Source organism: Homo sapiens, chromosome 17, assembly GCF_000001405.40.
Source record: "Homo sapiens chromosome 17, GRCh38.p14 Primary Assembly".
NCBI classification, from domain to species: Eukaryota; Metazoa; Chordata; class Mammalia; order Primates; family Hominidae; genus Homo; species Homo sapiens.
This window is the reverse complement of record NC_000017.11, coordinates 51,054,253-51,082,191: the sequence shown is the minus strand read 5'-3', so window position 1 is coordinate 51,082,191 and position 27,939 is coordinate 51,054,253. Positions and strand designations below refer to the sequence as shown.

At 40.1% G+C, this 27,939-nt stretch overlaps 1 protein-coding gene across 6 annotated transcripts in view; it reads left to right on the top strand.

Moving 5' to 3' along the window:
* Positions 1-27,939, top strand: part of SPAG9 (sperm associated antigen 9) — a 158,695-nt gene that overhangs the window by 38,677 nt on the left and 92,079 nt on the right. For 5 of the 6 annotated variants that reach the window (NM_003971.6, XM_005257771.4, NM_001130527.3 and 2 more), the window contains exons 2-3: positions 2,488-2,608; positions 25,710-25,780. In NM_003971.6, the coding sequence (NP_003962.3) occupies positions 2,488-2,608; positions 25,710-25,780 (192 nt within the window). Of the gene's footprint in view, positions 1-2,487; positions 2,609-14,239; positions 14,261-25,709; positions 25,781-27,939 lie in introns of those variants that run through there. The other variant, XM_017025285.3, reaches the window with a different exon arrangement.

Below are 27,939 nucleotides of genomic sequence, written 5' to 3'. Positions count from 1 at the left end.
TTGGCCAGGCTGGTCTCAAACTCCTGACCTTAAGTGATCCACCTGTCTTGGCCTCCCAAAGTGCTAGGATTACAGGCGTGAGCCACCATGCCTGGCCTGGTATCACAGTTTTAAATAGGTTGGCCAAAGAAGCCTTCACCAAGAAGGTGAGATTTGAACAAAGATGTGAAGGAAGTAAGTAGAGAGCAAGCTGTTTGGATATCTGGAAGAAGAGAATTCTAGGTAGTAGGAAGCAAGTGCTGAGGCTTGAAGTGTTTGAGGAACTGCATGGATGCTTGAATCAGAGAATGGGAAGGAGAAGAGGGTAGGAAGAGAAGTAGGGGATGATGTCAAAGAAGTAAGAGAATGGTGGAAGCATGTTGTGTAGATCCTTAGAGGCTATGGTAAAGAATTTAAACCACTAGAGCGTTTTAAGCAGAGGATAAATTGTTTTTACTTTTTTTTTTTTTGAGACAGAGGTTTGCTCTTGTTGCTCAGGCTGGAGTGCAATGGCGTGATCTCAGCTCACCGCAACCTCTGCCTCCCGAGTTCAAGCAATTCTCCTGCCTCAGCCTCCCAAATAGCTGGGATTACAGGCATGCGCCCCAGACCCAGCTAATTTTATATTTTTAGTAGAGACGGGGTTTCTCCATGTTGGTCAGGCTGGTCTCGAACTCCTGACCTCAGGTGATCTGCTCGCCTCAGCCTCCCAAAGTGCTGGGATTACAGGCATGAGTCACTGCTCCTGGCCTGCTTTTTTTTGAGAGGGGGTCTTGTTCTGTCGCCCAGGCTGGAGTTTAGTGGCGTGATCTCAGCTTACTGTAACCTCCGTCTCCTGGGTTCAAGCGATTCTCCTGCCTCAGCCTCCTCAGTAACTGGGATTACAGGAGCCTGCCACCACGCCCAGCTAATTTTTGTGTTTTTAGTAGAGACCGAATTTCACCATGTTGGACAGGCTGGCTGGCTGACTTTTTAAAGAATCCTCCTAGATCCTCTAGAATATATTGTAGAGGATTAGGGTGGAAGTAAGAAGACTAATTAGGAGACTTTCACTGTTGCAGTAATCCAGGCATTAGATGATTGTGGCACACACCAGGATGGTGGTGGAAATGATGAAAAGCGGTCAGATCTGAAGGTAGATTTGCTGATGGATTGGATATGTGAGGTACTAGAGAAACAGAAGAGTCAAAGCTGACTCCAGAGTTTTGGTCCTGAGTAACTGACCACAGTAATTTAATGAGCTAGAGAAGACCAGGAGAGGAGCAAGTTTTCACATGCTAAATTTAAGAATTTAAGATGCTTTTTTTTTTTTTTTTTTTTTTTTTTGAGATAGAGTCTTGCTCTGTAGCCCAGGCTGGAGTGCAGTGGTGCGATCTCGGCTCACTGCAACTTCCACCTCCCGGGTCCCGGTTCAAGCAACTCTCCTTCCTTAGCCTCCCAAGTGGCTGGGATTACAGGAACGTGCCACCATGCCCAGCTAATTTTTGTATTTTTAGTGGAGACAGGGTTTCAGCATGTTGGCCAGGTTGGTCTTGAACTCCTGACCTTGTGATCTGCTCTCCTCAGCCTCGCAAAGTGCTAGGATTACAGGCGTGAGCCACCACACCCAGCCTTAAGATGCTTTTTAAACATCCAATTGAAGTTTTCTAGTAGGCAGTTGGACATACAAATCTGGAATTCAGGTCTGGGCTAGAGATAGAAATTCAGAAGTTGTCAGCATATAGTTCGTACTTAACGCCATGAAACTGGACGCGATCACTAGGGAATAAGTGTAAACAAGGAAGAGAAGATGTGTCCAAGGACGGAGCATGCCAATGTTAAGAAGTTGGGGAGAAAAGGAGGTACTACCAAAGAAGACCAAGAACGAGCAGCAAACAAGAAAACATCCTGGTAGCCAAATTAAAAAAAAAAAAAAAAAGTTTTAAGGAGAGCGGATCACTTGTCAGATGTTGCTGATACAACAATCAAGATGAAGACTGAGATTTAATGATTGCACTTAGTGTTACTATCCTTGATGAGAACAGGTTTGGTAAGTTAGATTTGAGTGGTGGAGTTATTCCTAGGACATGTCCTTTTCTTAGGAATTTAAACTCCATGGTTCAGGTGAATCTATGACTATTAATCACACAACCATTTAACAAATATTTATTGATTATTCCATCATTCTTTTGTTCTCTATTGTACATGTTATAGATTTTTAAGTTGTCTGGAAGTCAAGATGCATATGCAAGTATACAAAAGGGTTTATATATTTGTAGTAAGATATGTATATCATATGGAATGCCTATAACATGAAGTGGAAACAATTATTTTGTTATTTTTTTCTTCTATATTTGGGAGTTTTTTAAACTTAATTTTTATAGAAAAACTAAAAATCAACCCAAGGTCATAATTCTGAGATCTAAGTAGTTAATACCTAATTGTGATTATTGATTCCAAGAAATAACAGGAGTTGAAAATGTAAAGTTTAATTTCTCTGATTAAATTTATATTGTTCTTCTTTATTAGAAATTCATTGAATTTGAAGACTCTCAAGAACAGGAAAAAAAGGACTTACAGACCCGAGTGGAATCTTTAGAATCTCAAACAAGACAACTTGAGCTGAAAGCGAAAAACTATGCTGACCAGAGTAAGTAAAACATTTCTTCTCATAAGTACACTAAAGATTGGGCTTGGCCAGACGTGGTGGCTCACGCCTGTAATCCCAGCACTTTGGGAGGCCGAGGTAGGAGGATCACTTGGGTTCAGGAGTTCAAGACCAGCCTGGTCAACATGGTGAAACCTCGTCTCTACTAAAAATACAAAAATTAGCTGAGCATGGTTGTGCATGACTGTAATCCCAGCTACTTAGGAGGCTGAGGCACGAGAACCATTTGAATCCGGGAGGCAGAGGCTGCAGTGAGCCAAGATGGTGCCACTGCACTCCAGCTTGAGCAACAGAATGAAACTGTGTCCCCCCACCCCCCAGAAAAAAAAAAAAAGGAATTGGCTCTAATGGTGCAATGACTCATCCTGAAATTCGACTAAGGTTCTAAATACAAACTTGGAATTGTCATCCCAGACTCAAGAGTGAGACCTAGGACCTAGGGTTAGTTCTTTTTTATTCACATTTTCACATGGTACCCATGTGTGCAGAACTGACTAAACCAGATATATCGATCAGACTCACTTCAATTTAGATCTCAGCCTTTGTTTGTAGTTAACATTATGCTTTAACCATTATGCAAGTGTGTGTGTATGTGTGGATCATTTCCTCTATTTTTGATCAAGTACACAAAGCTCCATTTTTTCTGTTTTGCTTTGAAATGTAAAAATGTAAGGTAAACTTACAGCTTTGAAGTATGTATTTAAAAATTACCTAAGCATGTAATTAGATACTGGAGAAAAAAAAGTACTGAATCCTCTTTTTTGCTCCTTTTTTTAATGGAAAAATGGGGCCATTTGGGGGGAATAGAACTTCATTTTTCAGAATCATTTTATTTTTAATATAATTTCATATTTTCTTGGTTTTTAAAATTATTGTTTCAAACCTCAAGGATGATTTTCCCCTTTGGCTAATAAAAACAGACCTAATTAAGTCAAAATTAGAAAAAAAAAAAGGTGAGAAACTTTATGGCCTATTTTCATGTCTGATATAGGTAGGCAGACAATTCTCTGCTTTTCTCCCAGCATTGTAAACTTTCAGAATCCTAGGGAGCAAAGGATGGCCAGGCAGCTACTCTATCCACATTACTCATGAAGGCTACATAGTGACACCAGCTATAAAGGTACAGCCATTCATGATGGAATGCCTTCGCCAGCACTCTTGGGGCGTGTGTGAGAACTGACTGTTCTCTCTAGTACTCTGGAAAGACGGAATAGAGCTAAATTAAAACCACTGGAAATCTGGAGTTCAAGCATTCTAGAATTCAAGGAGAACTCAAGTGGCTATTAAGCAGATGTCCTAGAAGAGGGCCAATGGATGTTTGGTAACAGAAGCCAACTTGAGCGAGAGAAAATGAGCCGTGTGTCATGCTTTGTGTTTTTAGCCTTGTGGATACCCAGAGTTGTTGGATACCTTTGTTACCATTGAATACATTGAGTGACTTCTATGATTTCTACCATAGAAATTTGAGGTTTGCTGGGTATGATGGCTCATGGCTGTAATCCCAACACTTTGGGAGGTGAAGGTGGGAGGATTGCTTGAGCCTTGGAGTTTGAGACCAGCCTGAGCAAGATAGCGAGATCCTGTCTTTATGATAAAAAAATTAAGAAAACGAGGCCAGACGCGGTGATTCACACTTGTAATCCCAGCACTTTGGGAGGCTGCCGAGGCGTGCAGATTGCTTGAACTCAGGGTTTCGAGACCAGCCTGGGCAACATGGTGAAACCCCGTCTCTACCAAAAATACAAAAATTAGCTGGGTATGATGGTGCGCACCCGTAGTCCTAGCTATTTGGGAGGCTGAGGTGGGAGGATCACTTGAGCTTGGGAGGTGGAGGTTGCAGTGAGCTGAGATTGCACCACTACACTCCAGGCTGGGTAAGAGAGTGAGACCCTGTCTCAAAAGAATAAAAAAATTTGAAATCTCGGAGGACTGCATGATGGACTCCACAGGGCATCCACTAATAGATATAGTACTGTAGTCACATTACTATGAATACTATTCATCTGGAGAAATGGTCTTGTGGCAATTGCAAGCTTTTGGTACATTTCAAGAGTTGAACCTTTTCTGTTCAAGAAAGAAAATTTAACTATTGGAGGTAATGTTTAAATCCTAATTTGATTGTACTTTTTTTTAAATAGAGACAAGGCCAGGCACGGTGGGTCACACCTGTAATCCCAGCACTTTGGGAGGTCGAGGCGGGCGAATCACCTGAGGTCAGGAGTTTGAGACCAGCCTGACCAACATGGAGAACCCCGTCTCTACTGAAAATACAAAATTAGCCGGACATGGTGGCACTTGCCTGTAATCTCAGCTCCTCGGGAGGCTGAGACAGGAGAATCGCTTGACCCCGGGAGGTGGAGGTTGCAGTGAGCCGAGATCACACCACTACACTTGGCCTGGGCAACAAGAGTGAAACTGTCTCAAAGAAATAGATAGATAGCTAGCTAGATAGCTAGATAGCTAGCTAGATAGATAGCTAGCTAGATAGCTAGATAGCTAGCTAGATAGCTAGCTAGATAGCTAGATAGCTAGATAGATAGCTAGATAGCTAGCTAGCTAGCTAGATAGCTAGATAGCTAGATAAGATAGATAGATAGAGACAAGATCTCATTATGTTGCCCAGGCTGGTCTCGCACTTCTGGGCTTCAAAGTGCTGGGATTTCAGACATGAGCCACTATGCCTAGCATGAAGGGATTATATAATCTTTTAGAACCAAACACTAAAGACACAGTTGACAGACTCAGCCTACCTTTCATTGTTTTACGTATTAAGTTTTCTTGTTGATATCTGCAGGGTACACAAAGTTTTCTTTCTGTCTTTTTTTTTTTTAAGACGGAGTCTTGTTCTATCGCCCAGGCTGGAGTGCAGTGGTGTGAGCTCGGCTCACTGCAACCTCCGCCCCCTGGGGTCAAGTGATTCTCCTGCCTCAGCCTCCCAAGTAGCTGGGACTACAGGCATGCACCACCATGCCTAGCTAATTTTTGTATTTTTAGTAGAGATGGAGTTTCACCATGTTGGCCAGGCTTGTCTCGAACTCCCAACCTCAGGTGATCCGCCTGCCTCGGCCTCCCAAAGTACTGGGATTACAGGTGTGAGCCACTGCGCCCAGCCTGGGTACCAAGTTTTCAATAAGAAATTATTATTTATTGAAACCGGATCTCACTCTGTCTAACGTGTGCAGTGGCAGGATCGCTGTTCACTGCGACTTGTGCTTCCTGGGCTCAATCGATCCTCTAGCCTCAGCCTCCTGAGTAACTGAGACTACAGTCACAAGCCACCATGCCTGGCTAATTTTTGTATTTTTTGTAGAGACAGGGTTTCGCCATGTTGCCCAGGCTGGTCTTGAACTCCTGAGCTCAAAGCAGTCCGCCCGCCTCGGCCTCCCAAAGTGCTGGCATTACAGGCATGAGCCACCTTGCCCAGCCTGAAAAAAATTTTTTTTCTTTTTCTTTTTTCTTTTCCTTTTTTTTGAGATGGAGTCTTGCTTTGTCACCCAGGCTGGAGTGCAGTGGCGCGATCTTGGCTCACTGCAACCTCTGCCTCCTGGATTCAAGTGATTCTCCTGCCTCAGCCTTCCTAGTAGCTGGGATTACAGGTGCCTGCCATCACCCCCAGCTAATTTTTTGTATTTTTAGTAGAGACAGGGCTTCACTGTGTTAGCCAGGATGGTCTCAATCTCCTGACCTCGTGATCCACATGCCTCGGCCTCCTGAAGTGCTGGATCTTTTTCTTTTTTTCTCAGAGACCGAGTCTGGCTCTGTGTCCCAGGCTGGAGTACAGTGACACGATCATAGCTCACTGTATCCTTGAACTCCCAGGCTCAAGTGATCCTCCCACCTTAGCCTCCCAAATAGCTGGAACTACAGGCATGAGCCACCATACCTGGCTAATTTTAAAACTTTTTGTAGAGATGGGGTCTTGTTATGTTGTTCAAGCTGGTCTCGAACTCCTGGTCTCAAGTGATCCTTGCACCTTGGCCCCCCAAATGCTGGGATTACAGGTGTAAGCCACTGCGCTCGACCAGAATTCCTTTTTTGACTTGGAAAAGAATTCCTTGTCTAACATCCTTTTGTGCATTAAGTAATTGGCTTCTGTGATTAGAGGAAGAATTACCTTATACTTGAAATTGCATTTTTGATATCAAAGTACCTTTAAAATGTCTCACACTCAAAAAAGAAGCAGAAGATACTGCTTCTTTTTTTCCCAAAAGTATCTAAGTGGAATGAATTACTAATTATTTCACATACATTAGCCCTTTTATTACTAAATTTAAAAAATCTGTTTCCTATTCCTTTCTAATAAATGTAAACAAAATATAGTGGTTTCTTTTCTTCTTCTTCTTCTTTTTTTTTTTTTTTTTTTTTTTTTTGAGATGGAGTCTGGCTCTGTTGCCCAGGCTGGAATGCAATGGCATGATATTGGTTCACTGCAACCTCCGCCTCCCAGGTTCAAGCGATTTTCCTGCCTCAGCCTCCCGAGTAGCTGGGATTACAGGCACCCGTCATTATGCCTGGCTAATTTTTGTATATTTGTAGAGATGGGGTTTCACTATGTTGGCCAGGCTGGTCTTGAACTCCTGACCTCAGTTGATCCACCTGCCTCAGCCTCCCAAAGTGCTGGGATTACAGGCATGAACCACTGTGCCTGGCCTAGTGGTTTCTTAATTAAGGGAAGTGATCAATTTAGGGGACTGTTTGAGTATGTCAATTTTTTTTTCATTGTCCCAGATTTGTTATCCAGTCCAGAGAGTCATACCTTTTTTGGAATTGTCATATTCTGTGGTATCCATCTTCTCATTCCTCTCTCCAAAAGCATTAATTATGTTTTCCATTTTAATTCAAAGACTTTATAAAAATGAGATCATTTAAAAATAATTGACAATACTCTAGGGAAAGGAGGAAGAAATTCTTCATCAAGTATTAGATATGGTCTTGAGCTTAATTTGATCTAAAAACTTTATTTTTGTTATGAATATATTATCCTCCAAAGAATTTCTCCCCTGGGAGTCTGCTGTTCCTTTCTGAAATAAAGCTTGCTGTATAAAGAACAATTAAGGAACTTACAAACTGTGGTTAATCAAAATTGACCGTTCAGATGCACGAAGTTGATAACACGAAATCTTTTTTCTATGAACTGAGTTATTTTTTGAGCTGGACCCTTGCTCTGTCACCCAGACTGGAGTGCAGTAGCACCATCTCGGTTCACTCTGCCTCCTGGGTTCAAGCAATTCTCCTGCCTCAGCCTCCCGAGTAGCTGGGATTACAGGCGTGCACCACCATGCTTGGCTAATTTTTGTGTTTTTTTTGTTTTGTTTTGTTTTTATTTTTTTGAGACGGAGTCTCGCTCTGTCGCCCAGTCTGGACTGCAGTGGTGTGATCTCGGCTCACTGCAAGCTCTGCCTCCCGGGTTCACGCCATTCTCCTGCCTCAGCCTCCCGAGTAGCTGGGACTACAGGCGCCCGCCACCACGCCCGGCTTATTTTTTGTATTTTTAGTAGAGACGGGGTTTCACCGTGTTAGCCATGATGGTCTCGATCTCCTGACCTTGTTATCCACCTGCCTCGGCCTCCCAAAGTGCTGGGATTACAGGCGTGAGCCACCACGCCCGGCCTAATTTTTGTATTTTTAGTAGAGATGGGGTTTCACCATATTGGCCAGGCTGGTCTCGAACTCCTGACCTTGTGGTCCGCCCACCTCGGCCTCCCAAAGTGTTGGGATTACAGGCGTGAGCCACCGTGCCCGGCCTGAGTCATCTTTTATTAATGCTTTGGAACTTACTCCCTTCTCCTGAAATTGGAGTCTTTTTCTCTTTTCTAGTGAATTGTTTTCCTTTCTCTTCCTTTTGTTTTTTTCTAAGCCTTAACTGGTGTAATATGAATTCTAAGTGTATCTTAAATTTTCTTCAGAGTTTTTATTTTACCACACTTAAACATTCCCCCACTTTTTCTGGGGGGAAATTATTTGACTGTTTTTTCACTTTACCACCTTAGGTTTTTGTTTTTTGTTTTTTTTTAAATCTGCAATATGAATCAAAGCTTCTTATTTTTAATTTTAAAAATTACTTATTTCTTAATTTTTTTGAGACATTCCAGCTCTATTGCCCAGGCTGGAATGCAGTGGTGTGATCATGGCTCACTGTAGCCTCAACCTCCCAGGCTCAAGCAGTACTCTCACCTCTGCTCCGAGTAGCTGGGACTACAAGCACATGCCACCACACGTGGCTAATTGTTTTTTTTTTGAGACGGAGTCTTGCTCTGTTGCCCAGGCTGGAGTGCAGTGGCGTGATCTCGGCTCACTGCAAGCTCCGCCTCCTGGGTTCACGCCATTCTCCTGCCTCAGCCTCCCGAGTAGCTGGGACTACAGGCGCCCACCACCACGCCCGGAAAATTTTTGCATTTTTTCAGTAGAGATGGGGTTTCACCGTGTTAGCCAGGCTGGCCTCAAACTCCCGACCTCTGGTGATCCGCCCACCTCTGCCTCCCAAAGCGCTGGGATTACAGGCATGAGCCACCGCGCCCGGCTGAAGTTTTGTATTTTTTGTAGAGCCAGGGTTTTGCCATGTTGCCTAGGCTGGTCTCAAACTCCTAGGCTCAACAATCTGCTTGCTTTGATCTCTCTCATGTTAGAATTACAGGCATTAGCCACTGTACACAGCCTAAAAACTTCTTATTTTTTAAAAAGGTGATGTAGGAAGTAATCTTTAAGTATCATTAGTTCCCTATACTATTGGAAAACCAAGATTGGGAATGAGTGCTTTTTAAAAGATGAAAACAAATTGAAATAAATGTTATGTCAGGAGTTCATTAATTCTTGTTTTGTATAATAGAAAACAGATGATCTGGGCTATCTAATCTTAATGTGACTGATTTTATTTTATTTTTTGAGACAGAGTCTCGCTCTGTTGCCCAGGTTGGAGTGCAGTGGCGCGATCTCGGCTCACTGCAACTTCCGCCTCCCAGGTTCAAGAGATTCTTTCTGCCTCAGCCTCTTGAGTAGCTGGGACTTCAGGTGCGTGCCACCACACCTGGCTAATTTTTGTATTTTTAGTAGAGATGGAGTTTCACCCTTTTGGCCAGGCTGGTCTTGAACTCCTGACCTCAGGTGATACGCTCACCTTGGCCTCCCAAAGTGCTGGGATTACAGGCATGAACCACCATACCTAGCCTGATTTTTTGTTTTTTAAATAAAATATGAGACCAGGCGCGGTGGCTCACGCCTGTAATCCCAGCACTTTGGGAGGCCGAGGCAGGCGTATCACCTCAGGTCAGGAGTTCAAGACCAGCCTGGCCAAAAGGGTGAAACTCCGTCTCTACTAAAAATACAAAAATTAGCCAGGTGTGGTGGCGCATGCCTGTAATCCCACCTACTTGGAAGGCTGAGGCAGGAGAATTGCTTTAACCTGGGAGGCGGAGGTTGCATTGAGCCAAGATCACGCCACTGTACTCCAGCCTGGGCAATAAAGCAAGACTCAGTCTAAAACAAAAAAAGAAAATATGAATTTTGTGACAAAGTAAATGTAACCCAACATTTAATTTAAAATAAACATTTATTTAGGGGCACTGAGATGACTGTTCGCAGTACCTGTAGTGGGAGGAGAGGTGGATGCAATTTTTTTGTTGAGTGCCATTTGTTTGAGTGCTGGATGCCTTTTCTAGTTTTCATGTTTATACAGTGTATTAGTGTCTTTAATTTTAAAAGACTGAGTTTGTCAATTCTCATGAACATATTTTAGGAGCACACATCCCTTTTAAAAAATAGCCACAATAAAAATTCAAGTTCTGCTCTAAAGACTACTTCCTTTGTTAAAAGGGGAAATTTTGGTTAAAGTTATTTGCTATTTGAGAAGCAAGAAAAAGTAAAGAAATAGGAACTGAATTAAAAGACACACTTTACAGCTTTTGATAGTATGGAATCTATCATGTTGCATGATTTAACAATGTTGAAAAGTTGAGTCTATAATATGTTTTTTAACAATTTTTGGTCATGTTTGATTTTGGAGATTTCTGATTACTTTTCAAAATCTAAATGAATATAAGAAATTTTTTTTACTTTTTCCAACATGAATAAAGGATTTTTTAAAATGCTGTATATTATTCCTTATCTGGAGCAGCAATAATACGTCCTGTTAATATCTTATGAACCTTAAGGAAGAGTCTGTAATCGATATTGTGTGGAATAAGGAAGTTGTGAATTGAGAAAGCCTTGGTGCTTTTCAAGTGTGTAAGGAGTGTAATCAACTTTGCCATTCATAGTGTGGCAGTAATAGGTCTTTGTCAGAAAGTACTTTTTATATTTATTGTCTCTGTTGTATGTTGTGTATTTCTATCTTGTAAGCCAAATATCTAAAATTTGAGTCAAGCAAGTATAGATATTTTAATACAGTTGAAAATATTAAACTGGTCCAGTATGCCTAGCATTCTGCCTAGGTATGGTTGTGGTACACAAGAGTATGATATGGTCCTTGTGGTTAAAGAAATCATAGTTTAGTGGGGGGAGGAAGGGGAAGATTATGCGTATGGCCTACTAGTCTTTTTCCCATATATATTATATTTTTATATCATTGTGGTTAGGATGTATATTTAATTTTGTATCTTTTCCTTAACATTATCATAAGTATTTTTCCTTGTTGTATAATCTTCATTATTATTTTTATGTCCACATAAATCCACCATCCAGAAGCTATGCCATCTATTAACAATTTTTGTTTTCCCTGAGGACTATGCTTTATTTTTTCCTCTAATGAGAATTATTTAATGGCCACTGTGTTTTTTACCATGGCAGCCCAGAAACAGAACAAACGTTGAAATGCAACCATAACAACTAGTTTGAACCTTACCTGGTTGGCATATTTAAATTGTTTTTTTTCTTGATCCACGTTTTATACATGTATAATTAATATATTATGCTCTATTGTAAACTGTCTCAAATCCTTTGTGGAATGAAGAGGTGAATCAGGGTAAAATAAATGTAAGAAATTTAAAATAAAAAAACCAAAAACTTCTGTTGGTTGGTTGGTCATTTTTTCTGGTATACTGAATCATATTGCAGTAAATATTTTTTTACATCTACAAGTTTTCCCTTCTATTGGTAGTTTTCTTAGAATATATTTAAGGAAGTAGGTCAAAGAATTTTAGTGCTTTTTGGCATATAATAGTTTGGCCATTTCTAATGTCAATAGAATTGGAGAAGTAAGGGTTAGTAGTAAATTCCATTTTGCTTGTCATAACTTATGAATTTGAAGCATTATTTACAGCATATTAGCACACAGAGCTGATATAGAATCATTTATTATTTGATTCTCTCTTAGGAAGCTTCTGTTGCCCTCAGGCTCCTTGGATTTACAACTTATTCTTCCCTGAGTATAGAGCCATTGCCTTTTGTGGAGAAGATGAAAAGATTTAGATGACAGTGATATTTTTTTTTTAGTGAGTACTTCTTAATTTGGTGGCTATGTTTTTTGGGGAGTACAGGTTTTTTTTTTGTTTTTTTTTTTAAGAGATGAGGGTCTAATTCCTGTGTTTAAGTGATCCTCCCACCTCAGCCCTCCCGTGAGGGAGCCCACCTCAGGTGCATGCCACTGCACCCGTGGCTGTGATTTTAAGCTGTTATATTTAGACTCTTCTTTAATTCCGCCCTTCCTTCCTTTAAATGAAAATTCGTCTTTTTGAATTAAATGGAAAAATGTTGTTGGCACTGAAGTCAAATGTGTTAGATCCTTATACTTTGACCTTTCTACCTTTTTTGTCCCCCATGTAACATTCCTTTGCTTTTTACATCTTGTGTCAGGATCTTAGTCTAGTAAAATACCTGCAAGCCTTCACTTTGAAACATTATTATTAGAAGGAAAACACTTCTTATTTCTTGGTCATAAGAATAAGCACTCCACTAGATAGAAAGTTGGGGGAGATATTAACATAAACAATAACATAATTTTTATTTTAAAGGAATGTTTAAATTTTATTTAATTAATTAAATTTATTTAAAGGAATTAAATAAGGCTTAAAACAGACCTTCAACACAAGGTGATTGATAAATTAAGAATTTTCACAGCACATAAACCATTTTAAAGTTGCCAAGTATCATTTCATATCAAAGTTAATATTTGAGAGAGCCTAAATATTTTCTGTCGCTGTTTTTCAAATCACCTAAAAAAATACATTCAGGCTTGTACAAAACTTTATCAGATCCTTTACTGTGCTTTGTGATTAGCAATGAATGTTAGTATTTTGAAAAAATTAAATAATACTGTAATAGGACACTTTTTCCACTTTAGTTCTATGTCAATAGGCAATTCCTTCTACATAATTTTAAGAATGATAAAAGTAGATTACGAAGATTTATATATATATATTTTAATGATGATATGTGTTTTTGTTGAAAGTTTTTTTAATGAGGCAGCTTTAGGAGTTTGAATTATATCTTTTGGTTTTAAAAGAATGACAAGTTAATTATTTAGAAAGCTACTTTTAGTCTGTTTAATCAGAATCTAGTTCTTTGCAATACTAAGAATATCTATATATTTAATAAACAATATATATCAGCTGTTTCTTATTTAGAGCCTACATATGAGTGGGAAAGTAGAAAATTAGGCACAAGATAGTTTTTGCAAACACTAACATTACTTCTGCTTCATTAGGTAATACTTGTGGTCTTTAGCTGTTTTATGTTTTATTATCTGTATTTGGGCTCTTTCATTTTTGAGTCTAGTGTTGTCTATTGAGAAGCTTAAAGTTGTAATTTATAATTAATATCTAGAACTAAAGGTATCAGAAAATTAAGTTTATGAGTAAAAGTTAAAGGATTTCTGGTGATTTGCTTAGAGAACAGGGAAAATACGAATAATTTGATTATTCTTTCAAACATATAAAGGGATGGATAAGGAGTGTAGCAAGCTGTTTGTCTGTTATTTTGGAAGATTAAGTGAGAGAAAATGAATTTTTTGGCTTTGGTTGGTCATGAGGAAGTATTTCTTGGCCATGAGGGTGATACACAGGAATATGTGCAGAGGTTAAGCGTGGACTGTCCCTACGTAGAGACTTTAGGTAGGAGAATCATCAGCTTTGTTGTGGATGGCTTAAGTAACATCTTCAAGACAGGGAACTGTCAGATCACTAGAAGTTTCTACCGCTGGGATTCTTTGAAGTTATCCTACTCTGTTTTGAGAATATGATCATTGATTCATGATAGCTTTAAAATATGTATAATTTCACATTGTGTCATTGATTAATAACATATAATATCTGAAAATTTTTTGAAGTTGAGAGACATGGTAAAGGACTTAGTTGGTGAGGAGAGGTTGTTATTACTGTTTTGATGTGGTTGTCTGAGATTTCTTTGCTCTTAAGTCAGCCTTGCTTACCTGTTGGGACTTCTGATGCTAAATTGTTCAAGGAGAAGTTTCTGAAAGACCACATGTCAATCTTCTGAGGCCCAGCAACAGTTGGACTATCTGCCTTCCAGGAACAGTAAAAACTGATGATTCCTTTTGAGAAGGCAAATAATGAGTTGGATATGGCATTCTAGCAGGTCTGTTTCTCTTTCTTCCCCCCGTAGGCCTATCAGCAGTCTGATGGGGCAGAAGACAACAGAGATGGAAGGTGTTCCAAACTTGGCAAAGGCCATCAATCTCAGGAGGTAAGCTCTGATTTTGAGCCGGCAGAGCAGGTGGCTCTTCCTGCCTTAATCTTATCCTCTTGCTTTTTGGAAAGACGGATAGAAAGAGCGCTCAAAATGAGGCTGAAGTATCTCCATCATTATTCTAAAGGGGAAATTTTGGATTTGTCTTTTGATTGTTCTTTTTTCTTGCCCCCTCACCTTTTTTTTCTTTTTAGATAACATGATTTGCCTTTTTTTTTTTACTCCCCAGAAAATTAGCAATTTTAAAAATGGCAGTTACTTATCAGTTGTTTTGGGATAGGATGAACAGAATCTTGTTTATTTCCAGTTAATCTCGGCTTGGAGCTAGTTTTGATGAGTAAAATGACAAGGTTTTAGAATTTTCCCTGAGATCGTTTTGAAGTTTAGGTTTATGTGATAACTATTAAACAAGAAATGACCTTTTAATACACTTCAAATGGAATGCAACAATATAGGTATAGGTTAACTTCATGGTACTTGAGGCTTTCGAGGATGTCTATAGTCCTTGCCAGGTGGGCTTTTCTTTCCTGCTTTCCCCTTCCCTTCTACTTCCTTTTCTTTTCCCTTTAACTGATTCCTTAGTGGCATTCAGGACTTTAAAGAGATGGCTCTTCCACACTTTAAAATGACTTCTCAAAAGTGTTTATACCATCTTATGGGACTTAGGCCTTGAGTAAGCTGAGTTCATTGGATATGTTGTTGTACTGAGTTATTGTAAGTATTTTCAGAAAAGAAAGGTTCTGAATTTGTATTATTTGATCTTGGTGTATGTGTGTATATTTTCTAATATTTTCTATGTATTATATGATCAATTATATATGATCTTTATGTTACATGATTTATATTGTAAGTACCTACAAAGATAATAATAAAATTTAGGATCACAGTATATGTAAAGAAAACATGAAATACACAAAGTCATAAAACAGTTTCTGTTCAGGTTCTTGCTGTGGGTGTTAGGCAGGAGAGAATATACCACCAGAAAAACATTCAGAAAATCATTTATAATAACAGACGTAAACTATCCTTTTTTTTTTTGAGATGGACTCTTGCTCTGTCGCCAGGCTAGAGCGCAGTGGTGTAATCTCGGCTCACTGCAGCCCCCACCTCCCAGGTTCAAGCGATTCCCCTGCCTCAGCCTCCCTAGTAGCTGGGACTACAGGAGTGTGCCACCATGCCTGGCTAATTTTTTGTATTTTAGTAGAGACGGGGTTTCACCATGTTGGCCAGGATGGTCTTGATCTCGGGGTTTCACCATGTTGACCAGGATGGTCTCGATCTCCTGACCTCGTGATCTGCCCACCTTGGCCTCCCAAAGTGCTGGGATTACAGGCGTGAGCCATGGTCTTTTTTTTTTTTTTCTTTTTTTTTTTTGAGACAGAGTCTCACTCTGTCGCCCAGCCTGGAGTGCAATGGCATGATCTTGGCTCACTGCAGCCTCTGTCTCCTGGGTTCAAGCAATTCTCCTGTCTCAGCCTCCCAAGTAGCCGAAGTAAACTATTTTTAAAACATAATGGGGACTGGAGGCAATGGCTCACACCTGTAATCTCAGTATTTTGGAAAGCTGAGGCGGGAGGAGTGCTTGAGACCAGGAGATCGAGACCAGCCTGGGCAACATAGTGAGACCTTGTCTCTACAAAAAATCAAAAAATTATCTTGGCCTGGTGGCACACGCCTGTAGTGCCAACTGCTTGGGAGGATCACTTGAGCCTGGAGGATTGCTTGAGCCCAGGAAGTCAAGGCTGTAGTGAGCTGTGATTGTGCCATTGCACTCCAGCCTGGGAAACAGAACAAGACCCTGTCTCAAGAAAAAAAAAAAGCGTAATGGGGTAACATACCTTTGATAATTTGGAATGCTAACTTTTAAGAGGATTTTAGTACATGTTTATAAGCTGATATATGTTAAGCTAACTGTAGTTGCTATAACGAACTAGCCACAAAAATTATATATTAATGACTCAAATGTTATTTCTTGCTTACGTAAAGTTTAAAAAGTGGATGTTTCAGATAAGTGGGTGGCTTTTGCGGAGACATGGGCATTTCCCCCTTTATAGCTTCTAAGTTTGTCTTACCTGCATTAAGTTGGAGGAAGGGTAAAGGGCATGGAGCATCGTGTGTGGAGGGTTTTTACTGGACCAGGCCTAGGAGTAGCACACATCACTTTTACTACTACTTCAGTGGCTATAAGTCAGTCAGAGGCTACCTGCAGGGGCTGGGGTGGATAGCCTAGCTATTTGCCCAAGCAAAAGAGGAAACTGTTTTGGTTAACATCTGGCCAGTCTTTGCCTCAGCTTAACAGCCTTAGTGGGGGCCATTAGTATGTTATTTTGCCCAAGTGTTGAGGCAAAGGAATGATTCTGCCTAAGGCTTAGCAACCATCTGCCTATTCTTTCTACTGTGAATTATCTGAGGAAGAGAAGAGAAGGACATTTTAATGAAATGTCCTTCTCTTATAACATAAATGTTGAGATTTTCTTTTTGATCCCTTACCATTTGACTTTTTCTTTAAAAAACAGGTTATTAAATTAAGACATAATTTGCTCATACTTGTGTTAAGGGATAGGTTTCAAATGACTCTGTTTAAAATTGAAATCCAGGCTGGGCCTGGTGGCTCGTGCCTATAATTCCAGGAATTTGGGAGGCTGAGGCGGGAGGATTGCTTGAGCCCAGGAGTTCATAACCAGCCTGGGCAAAATAGCGAGACCCTGTCTCTATTTAAAAATAAAATAAAATTAAAAATTGAAATCTAATTCACATATCATAAAATCCACCATTTTATTTTATGTATTTATATATATATTTTTTGAGATGGAATTTTGTTCTAGTTGCCCAGGCTGGAGTGCAATGGTGCGATCTCAACTCACTGCAACCTTCGCCTCCCAGATTCAAGCAATTTTCCTGCCTCAGCCTCCTGAGTAGCTAGGATTACAGGCACCTGCCACCATGCCCAGCTAATTTTTTGTATTTTTAGTAGAGACGGGGTTTCATCATGTTGGCCAGGCTGGTCTCAAACTCCTGATCTCAGATGATCTGTCCGCCTTGGCCTCCCAAAGTGCTGGGATTACAGGCCTGAGCCACCGCACCCGGCCAAAATTCACCATTTTGAAGTGTACAATTCAGCGGTTTTTAGTACAATTTTCAAGGTTGTACAATCGCCACCACTAATTCCAGAACATTTTTATCACCCCAAGAAGAACCACCCCCTCATACCTGTTACACTTACTTCTGCTTTTCTGCTTCCCCTTGTCCCTGAAAACCACTAATCTAATTTTTGTCTCTATAGATTTGCCTGTTCTGGACATTTCATAATAATAGGATCATACAATATATGGTCTTTTGTGACTGGCTTCTTTCACCTAGCATAAAGGTTCATTCATGTTGTAGCATGTGTCAGTACTTCCTTCCTTTTCATAACCGGATAATATTGTTTTATGGGATACCCTCCACCCCCATTTCAATTGCCTATATATCCTGCTAGAGCTAGAAACAACCAAAACTCTAACTTTGCTATCTGAAAGTCTGTAGTAATACAGTTTTGAAGAGCTGAGTATAATGAACAACCACTTTGGGAAGATATTCCTTGGGTTTCCTCTTGGCATCTTGACTTGTTTAGTTCCTCATAAATGGGTAAGTAGATAACTTAATGTTTGAACCATCTTTACAATGCTGTGGTTGCCTACTAGGAGTAGGTAGTATATTAGTCATCTTGTTTTATTTGTATAATTAGCTATCAGTGACACATCTGAATATAACTAAGCAGAATGATAAACCTTCTGTTTAATTTTAATGGGAAAGATAAATGAATTAGTTAAGGGCCTTAAGTAAGTAGACTGAGGTGAACAGGCTCTCATTTACTCCTCTACTGGAGTGGAGAGGAAGATGGAAGTGGATATGATACTTATGCTAGAGGATAATACTTAACGTCTAATTTATGTAGATATTTTAACCCTTTTATTTTTTGTCTGCTTTTATTTTATTTTTTTAAAATTCCATTTTATTATTATTTTTTACTTACTTACTTACTTACTTATTTATTTATTTATTTTTGAGATGGAGTCTGGCTCTGTTGCCCAGGCTGGAGTGCAGTGGCACGATCTTGGCTCACTGCAACCTCCACCTCCCAGGTTCAAGCAGTTCTCCTGCCTCAGCCTCCCAAGTAGCTGGGATTACAGGCATGTGCCACCACACCTGGCTAATTTTTGTTTTTAGTAGAGAAGAGATTTCACCATGTTGGCCAGGCTGGTCTCCAACTCCTGACCTCAGGTGATCCACCCACCTTGGTCTCCCAAAGTGCTGGGATTACAGGTGTGAGCCACTACAACTGGCCCTGGCCTGCTTTTATTTTAGATGTTGCAAAATTCAGTATTTTTCCTGTTATTTAACAGGTTACAGACAAAATACATTTATATGAAAAGCTGAGACAGAGGTTAATTTAAGTATACTTTATGATTTATTTTGTATCAAAAACTTAGCGAAAAGATAGACGTGGTCAGCATACAATTTTTTTTTTTTTTTTTGAGATGTAGTCTCGCCCTGTGGCCCAGGCTGGAGTGCGGTGGCACAGTCTTGGCTCACTGCAACCTCCACCTCCCAGGTTCAAACGATCCTCCTGCCTCAGCCTCCCAAGTAGCTGAGATTACAGGCATGCACCACCACGCCCAGCTAAATTTTTTTGTATTTTTTGTAGAGATGGGGTTTCGCCATGTTGGCCAGGCTGGTCTTGAACTCCTGACCTCAGGTGATACGCCTGCCTCGGCTTCCCAAAGTACTGGGATTACAGGCGTGAGCCACTGTGCCCGGCCAGCATACAAGTTTCTAATATGTAACAGTAAGTTGAAAATATCTTAAAATACCACTTTTTGTGCATTAAAAACATGAAATTTTGTGTGTGAAAGAGATAGTAAAAGTTTGAGACCTGTAATTTTAAGACCTTTAGCTCTTATGAAAATAACAGGCATAAACTATGGTAATCTAGACAATGGAATATTAGTCAGTGCTAAAAAGAAATAAACTGTTTGTCCAGGAAAAGACGTGGAGTAGGTTGTGTGTGGTGGCTCACGCCTGTAATCCCAGCACTTTGAGAGGCGGAGGCAGGTGGATCTCCTGAGGTCAGGAGTTCGAGACCAGCCTGGCCAACATGGCGAAACCCTGTGTCTACTAAAATACAAAAATTAGCCAGGCATGGTGGTGGGTGCCTGTAGTCCCAGCTACTCAGAAGGCTGAGGCACGAGAATTGCTCGAACCTGGCAGGCGGAGGTTGCAGTGAGCTGAGATCATGCCACTACACTCCAGCCTGGGTGAAAGAGCAAGACTCTGTCTCAAAAACAAACAAAAAAAAGATATGGAGTAACCTCAAATGCATATTACTAAGTGAAAGAAGCCAATCTGAAAAGGCTAGGTACTATATGATTCCCACTATGTGACATTCTGGAAAAGGCAAAACTATGGAGACAGTAAAAAGATCATTGATTGCCAAGGTTTGGGAGATGGTAGGGAGGGATGAATAGGTGGAGCACAGGATTTTTAAGGCAGTGAACTTATTTTGTTTGATACTATAATGGTGGTCACATGTCATATTTTTGTCAAAAGCTGTAGAGTATACAACACCACGAGTGTACCCTAATGTAATTGATATATTTTGGGTGATAAGCATGTGTCAGTGTAGGTTCATCGATTGTAAAAGGTATACCACTCTGATTCTGGATGTTGATGGTAGGGGAGGTTGCGTGTGTAGGGGGCTGCAAATACATGGAAATTCTCTGTACTTTCATTCAATTTTGCTGTGACCCTAAAACGGCTCTAAAAATAAAGTCTATTAAAAATTAAAAGGGACAAGTCATCTGTAACTCCAGGTAGTTTGCATGTGCTAAATGCCCTTTTTCTGTGATAAATGGTTGCTATTAAATAAAAAAATATAGATATGTATGTATATTATTTATATGAGATTAGTAAATATAACCATTTCACCTTTTGAAAGAGATGGTTAGAGAATGGATTGATAGTTTATCAAATGTTATTTCTGAGGTGAAAGTAAGACTGTGTTGCCAAATGGAAGTAAATTTAGCAAAAAGTAACCCTGATGGGTTAGAAAGCTGTGAATGGAGGCTGAAGGAATTAATGATAGAAATAATTCAAAATGCTTAAGGAGAACAAAATGATTACTAGAACTTTAAGGAATTTTTATGGATGAACCTAAGCTTATGTGAACAATGGTCATATTCATTTAGATAAATATTGGAAATCTCCCAAAATTAATGGTATATTCTGTTATATGTCTCCTTCCCACAAGCCTTTTTTTTTTTTTTTTTTTTTTTTTGGAGACAGAGCTTTCGCTCTTGTTGCCCAGACTAGAGTGCAATGTTGTGATCTCACCTCACTGCAACCTCCACCTCCCAGGTTAAAGTGATTCTCCTGCCTCAGCCTTCTGAGTAGCTAGGATTACAGGCGTGCACCACCATGCCCAGCTAATTTTTGTAGTATTAGTAGAGGGGTTTCACCATGTTGGCCAGGCTGGTCTCGAACTGCTGACCTCAGGTGATCAGCCCGCCTTGGCCTCCCACAGTGCTGGGATTACAAGTTTGAGCCACCGCTCCTGGCCTAATCTCACTATTAAGTGGTGTACATTTGACACAAAGCAATGCAAACAAATTGATTAGGAAACTGGCATAAAATCAGTCAGGACCTGACTTTGTTTTGTGGCATTATAATGTTTTGTTCTGTAAGGTATAAACCCAGCTCTCTGACCAAGTCAGTTGACAAACATCTTATATAAAAGCTTCTCTCGGTGGGGCGCGGTGGCTTACGCCTGTAATCCTAGCACTTTGGGAGGCCGAGGTGGGTGGATCACGAGGTCAGGAGATCGAGACCATCCTGACCAACATGGTGAAACCCCATCTCTACTAAAAATACAAAAATTAGCTGGATGTGGTGGTGCACGCCTATAGTCCCAGCTACTCAGGGAGGCTGAGGCAGGAGAATCGCTTCAACCAGGGAGGTGGAGGTTGCAGTGAGCTGAGATCGCACCATTGCACTCCAGCCTGGGGACAGAGTGAGACTCTGTCTCAAGGAAAAAAAAAAAAAACAAAAAAAACCCTTTTCTCTGAGGTTTGCTTAATGGTATAAGTCAGCTAGGGCCGCCATAACAAAATATTACAGACTGGGTGGCTTCAATAGCAGAAATTTATTTCTCACAGTCTGGAGGCTGGAAATCTGAGATCCATGGTACAAGCAGATTTGGTTTCTCCTGAGGCCTTTCTCCTTGGCTTGCAGGTGGCTGCTTTACCTCTGTGTCCTAATATGGCCTTTTGCCTATCTCTTGCTGTTATAAGGATACCAGCCCTGTTGGATCAGGGCCCCACCTTAATGACCTCATTCAACCTTAATTACCTACCTTCTTCTGCCTTTTTTTTTTTTTTTTTTTTTTAAAAAGACAAAGTCCCGCTCTGTCACCGAGGCTGGAGTGCAGTGGTACAGTCTCAGCTCACGGCAACCTCCATCTCCCAGATTCAAGCGATCCTCCTGCCTCAGCCTCCCGAGTAGCTGGGATTACTGCTATTTGCCATGACGCCTGGCTAATTTTTGTATTTTTAGTAGAAACAGGGTTTCACCATGTTGGCCAGGCTGGTCTCGAACTCTTGCCCAGGTAATCCACCTGCCTCGGCCTCCCAAAGTGCTGGGATTACAGGTGTGAGCCACCTCGCCCGGCCCTTAATTATCTTCTTAAAGGCCCTATCCCCCAAATGCAGTCATATTGGGAGGTAGAGCTTCAACCTATGAATTTGGGGGGTGAGGGAGCACAATTCAGTCCATAATAGGTCAGGAGATAAGAGTTCTCTGTGGGGATGGGAAGCAAAGAGTGTTGTGACTTGACAATCAGATCCAGAAAAGTCTTACAGACCATTGTAAGAATTTTTTTTTCCTTTTAAAAATGAGATCGGAAGCTTTGAAGTTTTGAGCGGTTAGTCACTGTTTGATTCCATCTCTATTTTGAGAATGTAGGGAACAAAGACTAAGTAGAGAAACTAGTCAGGAGACTAGGATTATTATTGTAATAACCTAAGCAAGAGATGATGTCTTGGGTCAAAGTGAGAGTGATGAAGGTGGTAAAAGTGGTGAGATTCTGGTTTTTGGTTTGTTTGTTTGTTTGTTTGTTTGTTTTTTGAGATGGAGTCACACTCTGTCGCCAGGCTGGAGTTGCAGTGGCGCAATCTTGTCTCACTGCAACCTCTGCCTCACTGCAACCTCTGCCTCCTGGGTTCAAGCGATTCTCCTGCCTCAGCCTCCCAAGTAGCTGGAATTATAGGCATGCACCACCACGCCCAGCTAGTTTTTGTATTTTTAGTAGAGATGGGGTTTCACCATGTTGGCCAGGCTGTTCTCGAACTTCTGACCTTGTGATCCGCCCACCTCGGCTCTCAAAGTGCTGGGATTACAGGCGTGACCCACCAAATTTTCTTTATCCAGTCTATTCGGTAACATTTTTGTTCTCTCCCTGAGAATGCTACAGTCAGAGCAATAAAGCTTGTTTGTTATGGTTCTGAATAGTTTGTTTAAATCCCATTCTACATGTTGAACTCATAGCCATTGTAGGATAACATAAGGAAGAATGAGTATTCAAGCAGAGGAAAGTGCCTGTGTGAATGGATGCACATCGTGTTTGAACTGAGGTGGGCTGGGGCTATACAGGCATAAATACATCAGATCACTGACTCCTCCCCAGAGGTAACTACTATCCTGACTTGTAACATTTCAGATTAGTTTTGTGTTATGTCTTTGAATTTTGTATTCTTTTGTTTCTGCTTCTTTCCTTCAATATCATATTTGTGCTATTGGTCCATGATGTTGTGTGTGGCAATAATTTGTTTATTCACGTTGTACAGTATTCCAGTACATGAATATTTATCCATTCTACTCTTGATGGACAGTTGGATTGTTTTCAGATTGTGCTTCTTTGAACATTGTTTTAAATACCTTTGGGTGGACATATATATAGGCTTTCTAGCAATGACATTGTTTTGTGATAGGGTTGGCAAACATTCGAAACTTAACTAAATCTTGCCAAACAGTTCTTAAATTGGGCATACCAAGTTACGGTGTATGAAACCATACACCACAGTTTATGAAAGTTCCAGTAGTTCCACATCCATACTGGCACTTGGTGTGTTGTGTTTTTCACTGTAGCCATTCAGAAGCATGGTGGTGTTGCATTTTGGTTTTAATGTGCATCTCCCTGACTTGGGTACACATTTTGCTTGGCAGTTTGATGCCCTTTGTATCAAAGTATCTGTGAATGGGTTGTTTCTGTAAGAACAGAGGAGTTTTTTGTTTGAAGCATACTCCCCTCTGCCCAAAGTGATATCTTAAAGTAAACTCCAATATACAAAACAGATTAAAATGAGTATTTGCTGAGAAGCAGTATAGCATGGTAATTAAGAACACAGATTCTGGAGCCAGATTCTGATAGGAATCCTTGCTTTGCCATTTTCTATCTGTGTGACTTTGGGCAAGTTACTTAGCTCCTATTTGCTTCAGTTTCCTCATCTCTACCATGGATGTAATAATAATACTTTCATCGTAAGGTTAATGTTAGGCTCAAATAAGTTAGTTTATATGCAGTTCTTAGGACTGTATGGTACATAGTAAGCACTTGATGTTGTTGGCTGCTATTAGTAGTGGTGGTGTTGGTGATACAAATTTATTTATGAATTTATATCAGCTGACAAGAATAATAAGGCTCTACTATTGAGCACAAATTTGAAATTGAGGATTATGAATGATAGTTGGATTTTATTTCAGCCTCAGCATCCAATTTTTGTTTTTGTTGCACATTATCAAGAAAATAATGATTCAAAAAGATGAACAATTGAAAATAGATATGGTTTGTCCAGTAGTCTCAGAATTCCTTTAAGCTTTTAATCAGTTTAAATGACAAGTAGTAGAAAATGTTTATTTTGAAATTATTAAATATCCATAATTTGCTTGGATTTCCTGTTTTTAAATAAAAATCATAGAATTAAATTTTATTAAAAATTAATTTGTGGTTTTAGCATCTATTATTTTATCACAACACATCTGCATAATAAATTTGCTTATTATCGCTTTCAGCCACAGGATAAGATGAGCAGCAGATGTATTCAACACTTGTGTGGCATGATAAAATGTGCTCCGTGGGTACTGTAGTGTGTGTTTGCTCTCTGGTGCAAATGTAATGAGCCAGCGACACATAAGCTTGAATTAGAAACAAATCAAAACAAAGACAGCTACAGTTTTCCTAATCACATATTTTCAAGATATTTAAACAAATTATGGCAAGTAAAGGTACACAAACCCAAAATGAATTTTCTGGGCAGCACAAGGTATGTTTTGTTTGGTGTCTGGTGTGTTAATACTAGGAGGCATATAAAACATTCATTTATCTGCTGTCAGAATATTAGTTCATACTAGTTCCTTCTACAGCTGTCCTCCACAGTCACCAGTTGTAGATTACACACAGCCTTGCCTGTTTGCGGCCAGCTGACCCTTAAACCCAGGGAACATTTTCAACTATGCTAAGGCTTTCCAACAGACTAAATGAGTACCCTGATAAACTCCTCTAGCACCAGCTTTATTTCTCCCCAGACTGTCTCCCACTGCTCCTTAGCCAAGTATGGGCTCCTCCAGTCTGGCCAGTCTCCCCTCTGCCTCACCACCACCCTCTGCCTCACCACAGGCATGGTTTTGTGTTCCCTTCTCTGTGGTAACAGTGTCAGGAATGCTCTCATTACCATCTGTCTTGAGTACTGTAATTTCTTCCTTTGTGGTTCTGTGTGGACACCACCTCCTCCCTGAATCATTCCTCTTTGCTATCAGTTATTCTTTCCTGTGGAATCCTGTCCTGACATTCTGTATCTCAGGATCTATTAATAAAACTTTTTTTTTTTAAATATCCTGAAGTTGTACTCTGTGAGCACTACCTCAAGTCAGTGCCACTCACAAAACCCATCAGCAGAGGGAGCTAAATAAAAGAAGATGAGTCCCTGAAATTGAGGAGACCTGAAGCAGAAAAAGTACTTATAAACAATCAACTTTCACAAACTGCCAGTGCTAAAGAGCTTGAGTAGTGTTGGAAATACATTATTTGGGCCCTAATCCCAGTTTAAAACTTTGATGAGGTGATTTGTGTTTTTGAAAGAGTTAATTCTGTATCATGTTAAAAAAAAAACTGTTTAGGGGGATGACCTGATAAATATAGGAATATTAGAGAACCAATCTAAGGTATTCCGCTCGTCTGAAAGTTTTCATTATTAAGGATAATGAAATGAGGTCACTGCTTTGTGAAGACTTGCATATGGAACACTGAGTCTGAAAGTTGCTAAGGATTATGGATAGCCCATTCTGAGTCTAACATGTACTTTTTCAAGTAAATTTCTTATTTTGTTTTGATCAAGTGTATGTATCTTAATTTCAGTTAGCAGACTTGAAGAAAGAGAAGCAGAACTGAAGAAGGAATATAATGCATTACATCAAAGACACACTGAGGTGGGTTTCTAGGTTTTTCATTACCATGCTATTATTGAGACAAAGAAATGAACCTTAGAAAATATGTCTTAATTTTTCTTTGAAAATCAGAATTTTTTAAAAAAGAATAATTCTTGGGGATTCTTTCAAGAAAACATTAAATTTCATGTGGCATTTACCTAGTTACCAAATGTCAACTTTTCTTGGAATTAGCTTTTCATGGGGTGAATTAGTATGCTACAGAATAATTTAGTTATTTAAGGCAGCTATAGTACTTCTCTCCTTGGCTGGCTAAGCAAAAACCTATGTGCACATAATGAAGTTTCTGTGATGCTTAGATGAGAGAACTGATTTGTTTTTTTATGAGTTTGGAAATTATGGATTGGTAAGTTATTGGTAAAGGGTCTCTACATCTATTATCCATTGTAAAGGACTTATTTGCATTAAGCTCATAACAAATAATATAAGCACAAATTATAATGTGTTAAAATAACTCAAAAGTAGGTTTTTTGCATGAGTTTTCAGTATTTTAAATTAACAGTTTCAGCACAGTCTCCTCAAAGGAAATTAGAAAATGTACTTGAGGGTTTTTTAACCTTTTTATGATTCCCTGTCAGCCTTTCATGTTGCTTTTGTTTCTGTTATCTTAATGTGAAAATTATTTTTGTATGTCATGGTCAGTCTGGGTTTCACATACCCAGATAAATATAATTTTTATAGTTTTATACAATATTTGTTACATGAAAAAAATAATTCCTCTCTCTTTCCCCTTGCTAGTCCTATATTTCCCATGATACATATGGTTCCAGTCTTAGCCCGTTTTTTTGTTTGTTTTTTTTTCTCCCTAGTTTGTGTGATCTCTTATCCTGCGTCTGGTAGAAACTATGTTGTTGTTTTTCTTTAGAAGAGTATAAAAACCTTTATAATCTATAATCATAAAACAATTTAAAATCATGTTTTGGAGAATATCCACACAGATTGTATTCTGTATACAGTAAGCATATTAATGCTACAAAGATTGTATTTACATTATTATATTGTAGCTATATTCTGTTGTTGCTTGTGTGTGTGTGTGTGTGAGAGAGAGAGTCTTGCTCTGTTGCCCAAGCTGTAGTGCAGTGGCGCAATCTCGGCTCACTGCAACCTCCATCTCCTGGGTTCAAGCGATTCTCCTCCCTCAGCCTCCCAAGTAACTGGGATTACAGGTGTGTGCCACCATACCCGGCTAACTTTTGTATTTTTAATATAGTAGAGACAAGGTTTCTCCACGTTGGCCAGGCTGGTCTTGAGCTCCTCACCTCAGGCAATCCACCCACCTCGGCCTCCCAAAGTGCTGGCATTACACGTGTGAGCCAGTGTGCCTGGACGTTGCTGTTTATTTATTTATTTAAAAAAATGTTTTAATACTAGCCATTGCTTTTAAGGAACAGAAAACCCCACCACACATTGCATTTGAATAATGTGGTTAGCACTTTCTTGGGGTAGGGTGTAGAATTTTTCCCTGTTAGCCTTGACACGTGAGATTTGATTATTACAATCTTAGCTTAATAACCATACCCAAAGCATGAAGTATCACAGAATTGATATCCAGTAGCAGATGGAAAGGATGGTCCATGAAGGGCTTGAACCATAGAGCTCAGGGAAGACAGGAGCAGGTTATACAGCAGCTTTTTCAGTGGTAAAAAATACCCACATTTGGCCAGGTGCGGTGGCTCACACCTGTAATCCCAGCACTTTGGGAGGCCGAGGTGGGTGGATCATGAGGTGAGGAGATTGAGGCCATCCTGGCTAACACGGTGAAACCCCGTCTCTACTAAAAATACGAAAAATTAGCCAGGCATCATGGAGGGAGCCTATAGTCCCAGCTACTCGGGAGGCTGAGGCAGGAGAATGGTGTGAACCCAGGAGGCGGAGCTTGCAGTGAGCCGAGATCACGCCACTGCACTCCAGCCTGGGCAAGAGAGCGAGACTCCGTCTCAAAAAAAAAAAAGCCAAAAAAACCCACATTTTGGCTGGGAGCAGTGGCTCATGCCTGTAATCCTAGCACTTTGGGAGGCCAAGGTGAGCGGATCACTTAAGCCCAGGAGTTTGAGACCAGCCTGGGCAACATGGTGAAACCCCGACTCTACCAAAAAAAATATATACAAAAATAGCCAGGCATGGTGGCCTGCACCTTTAGT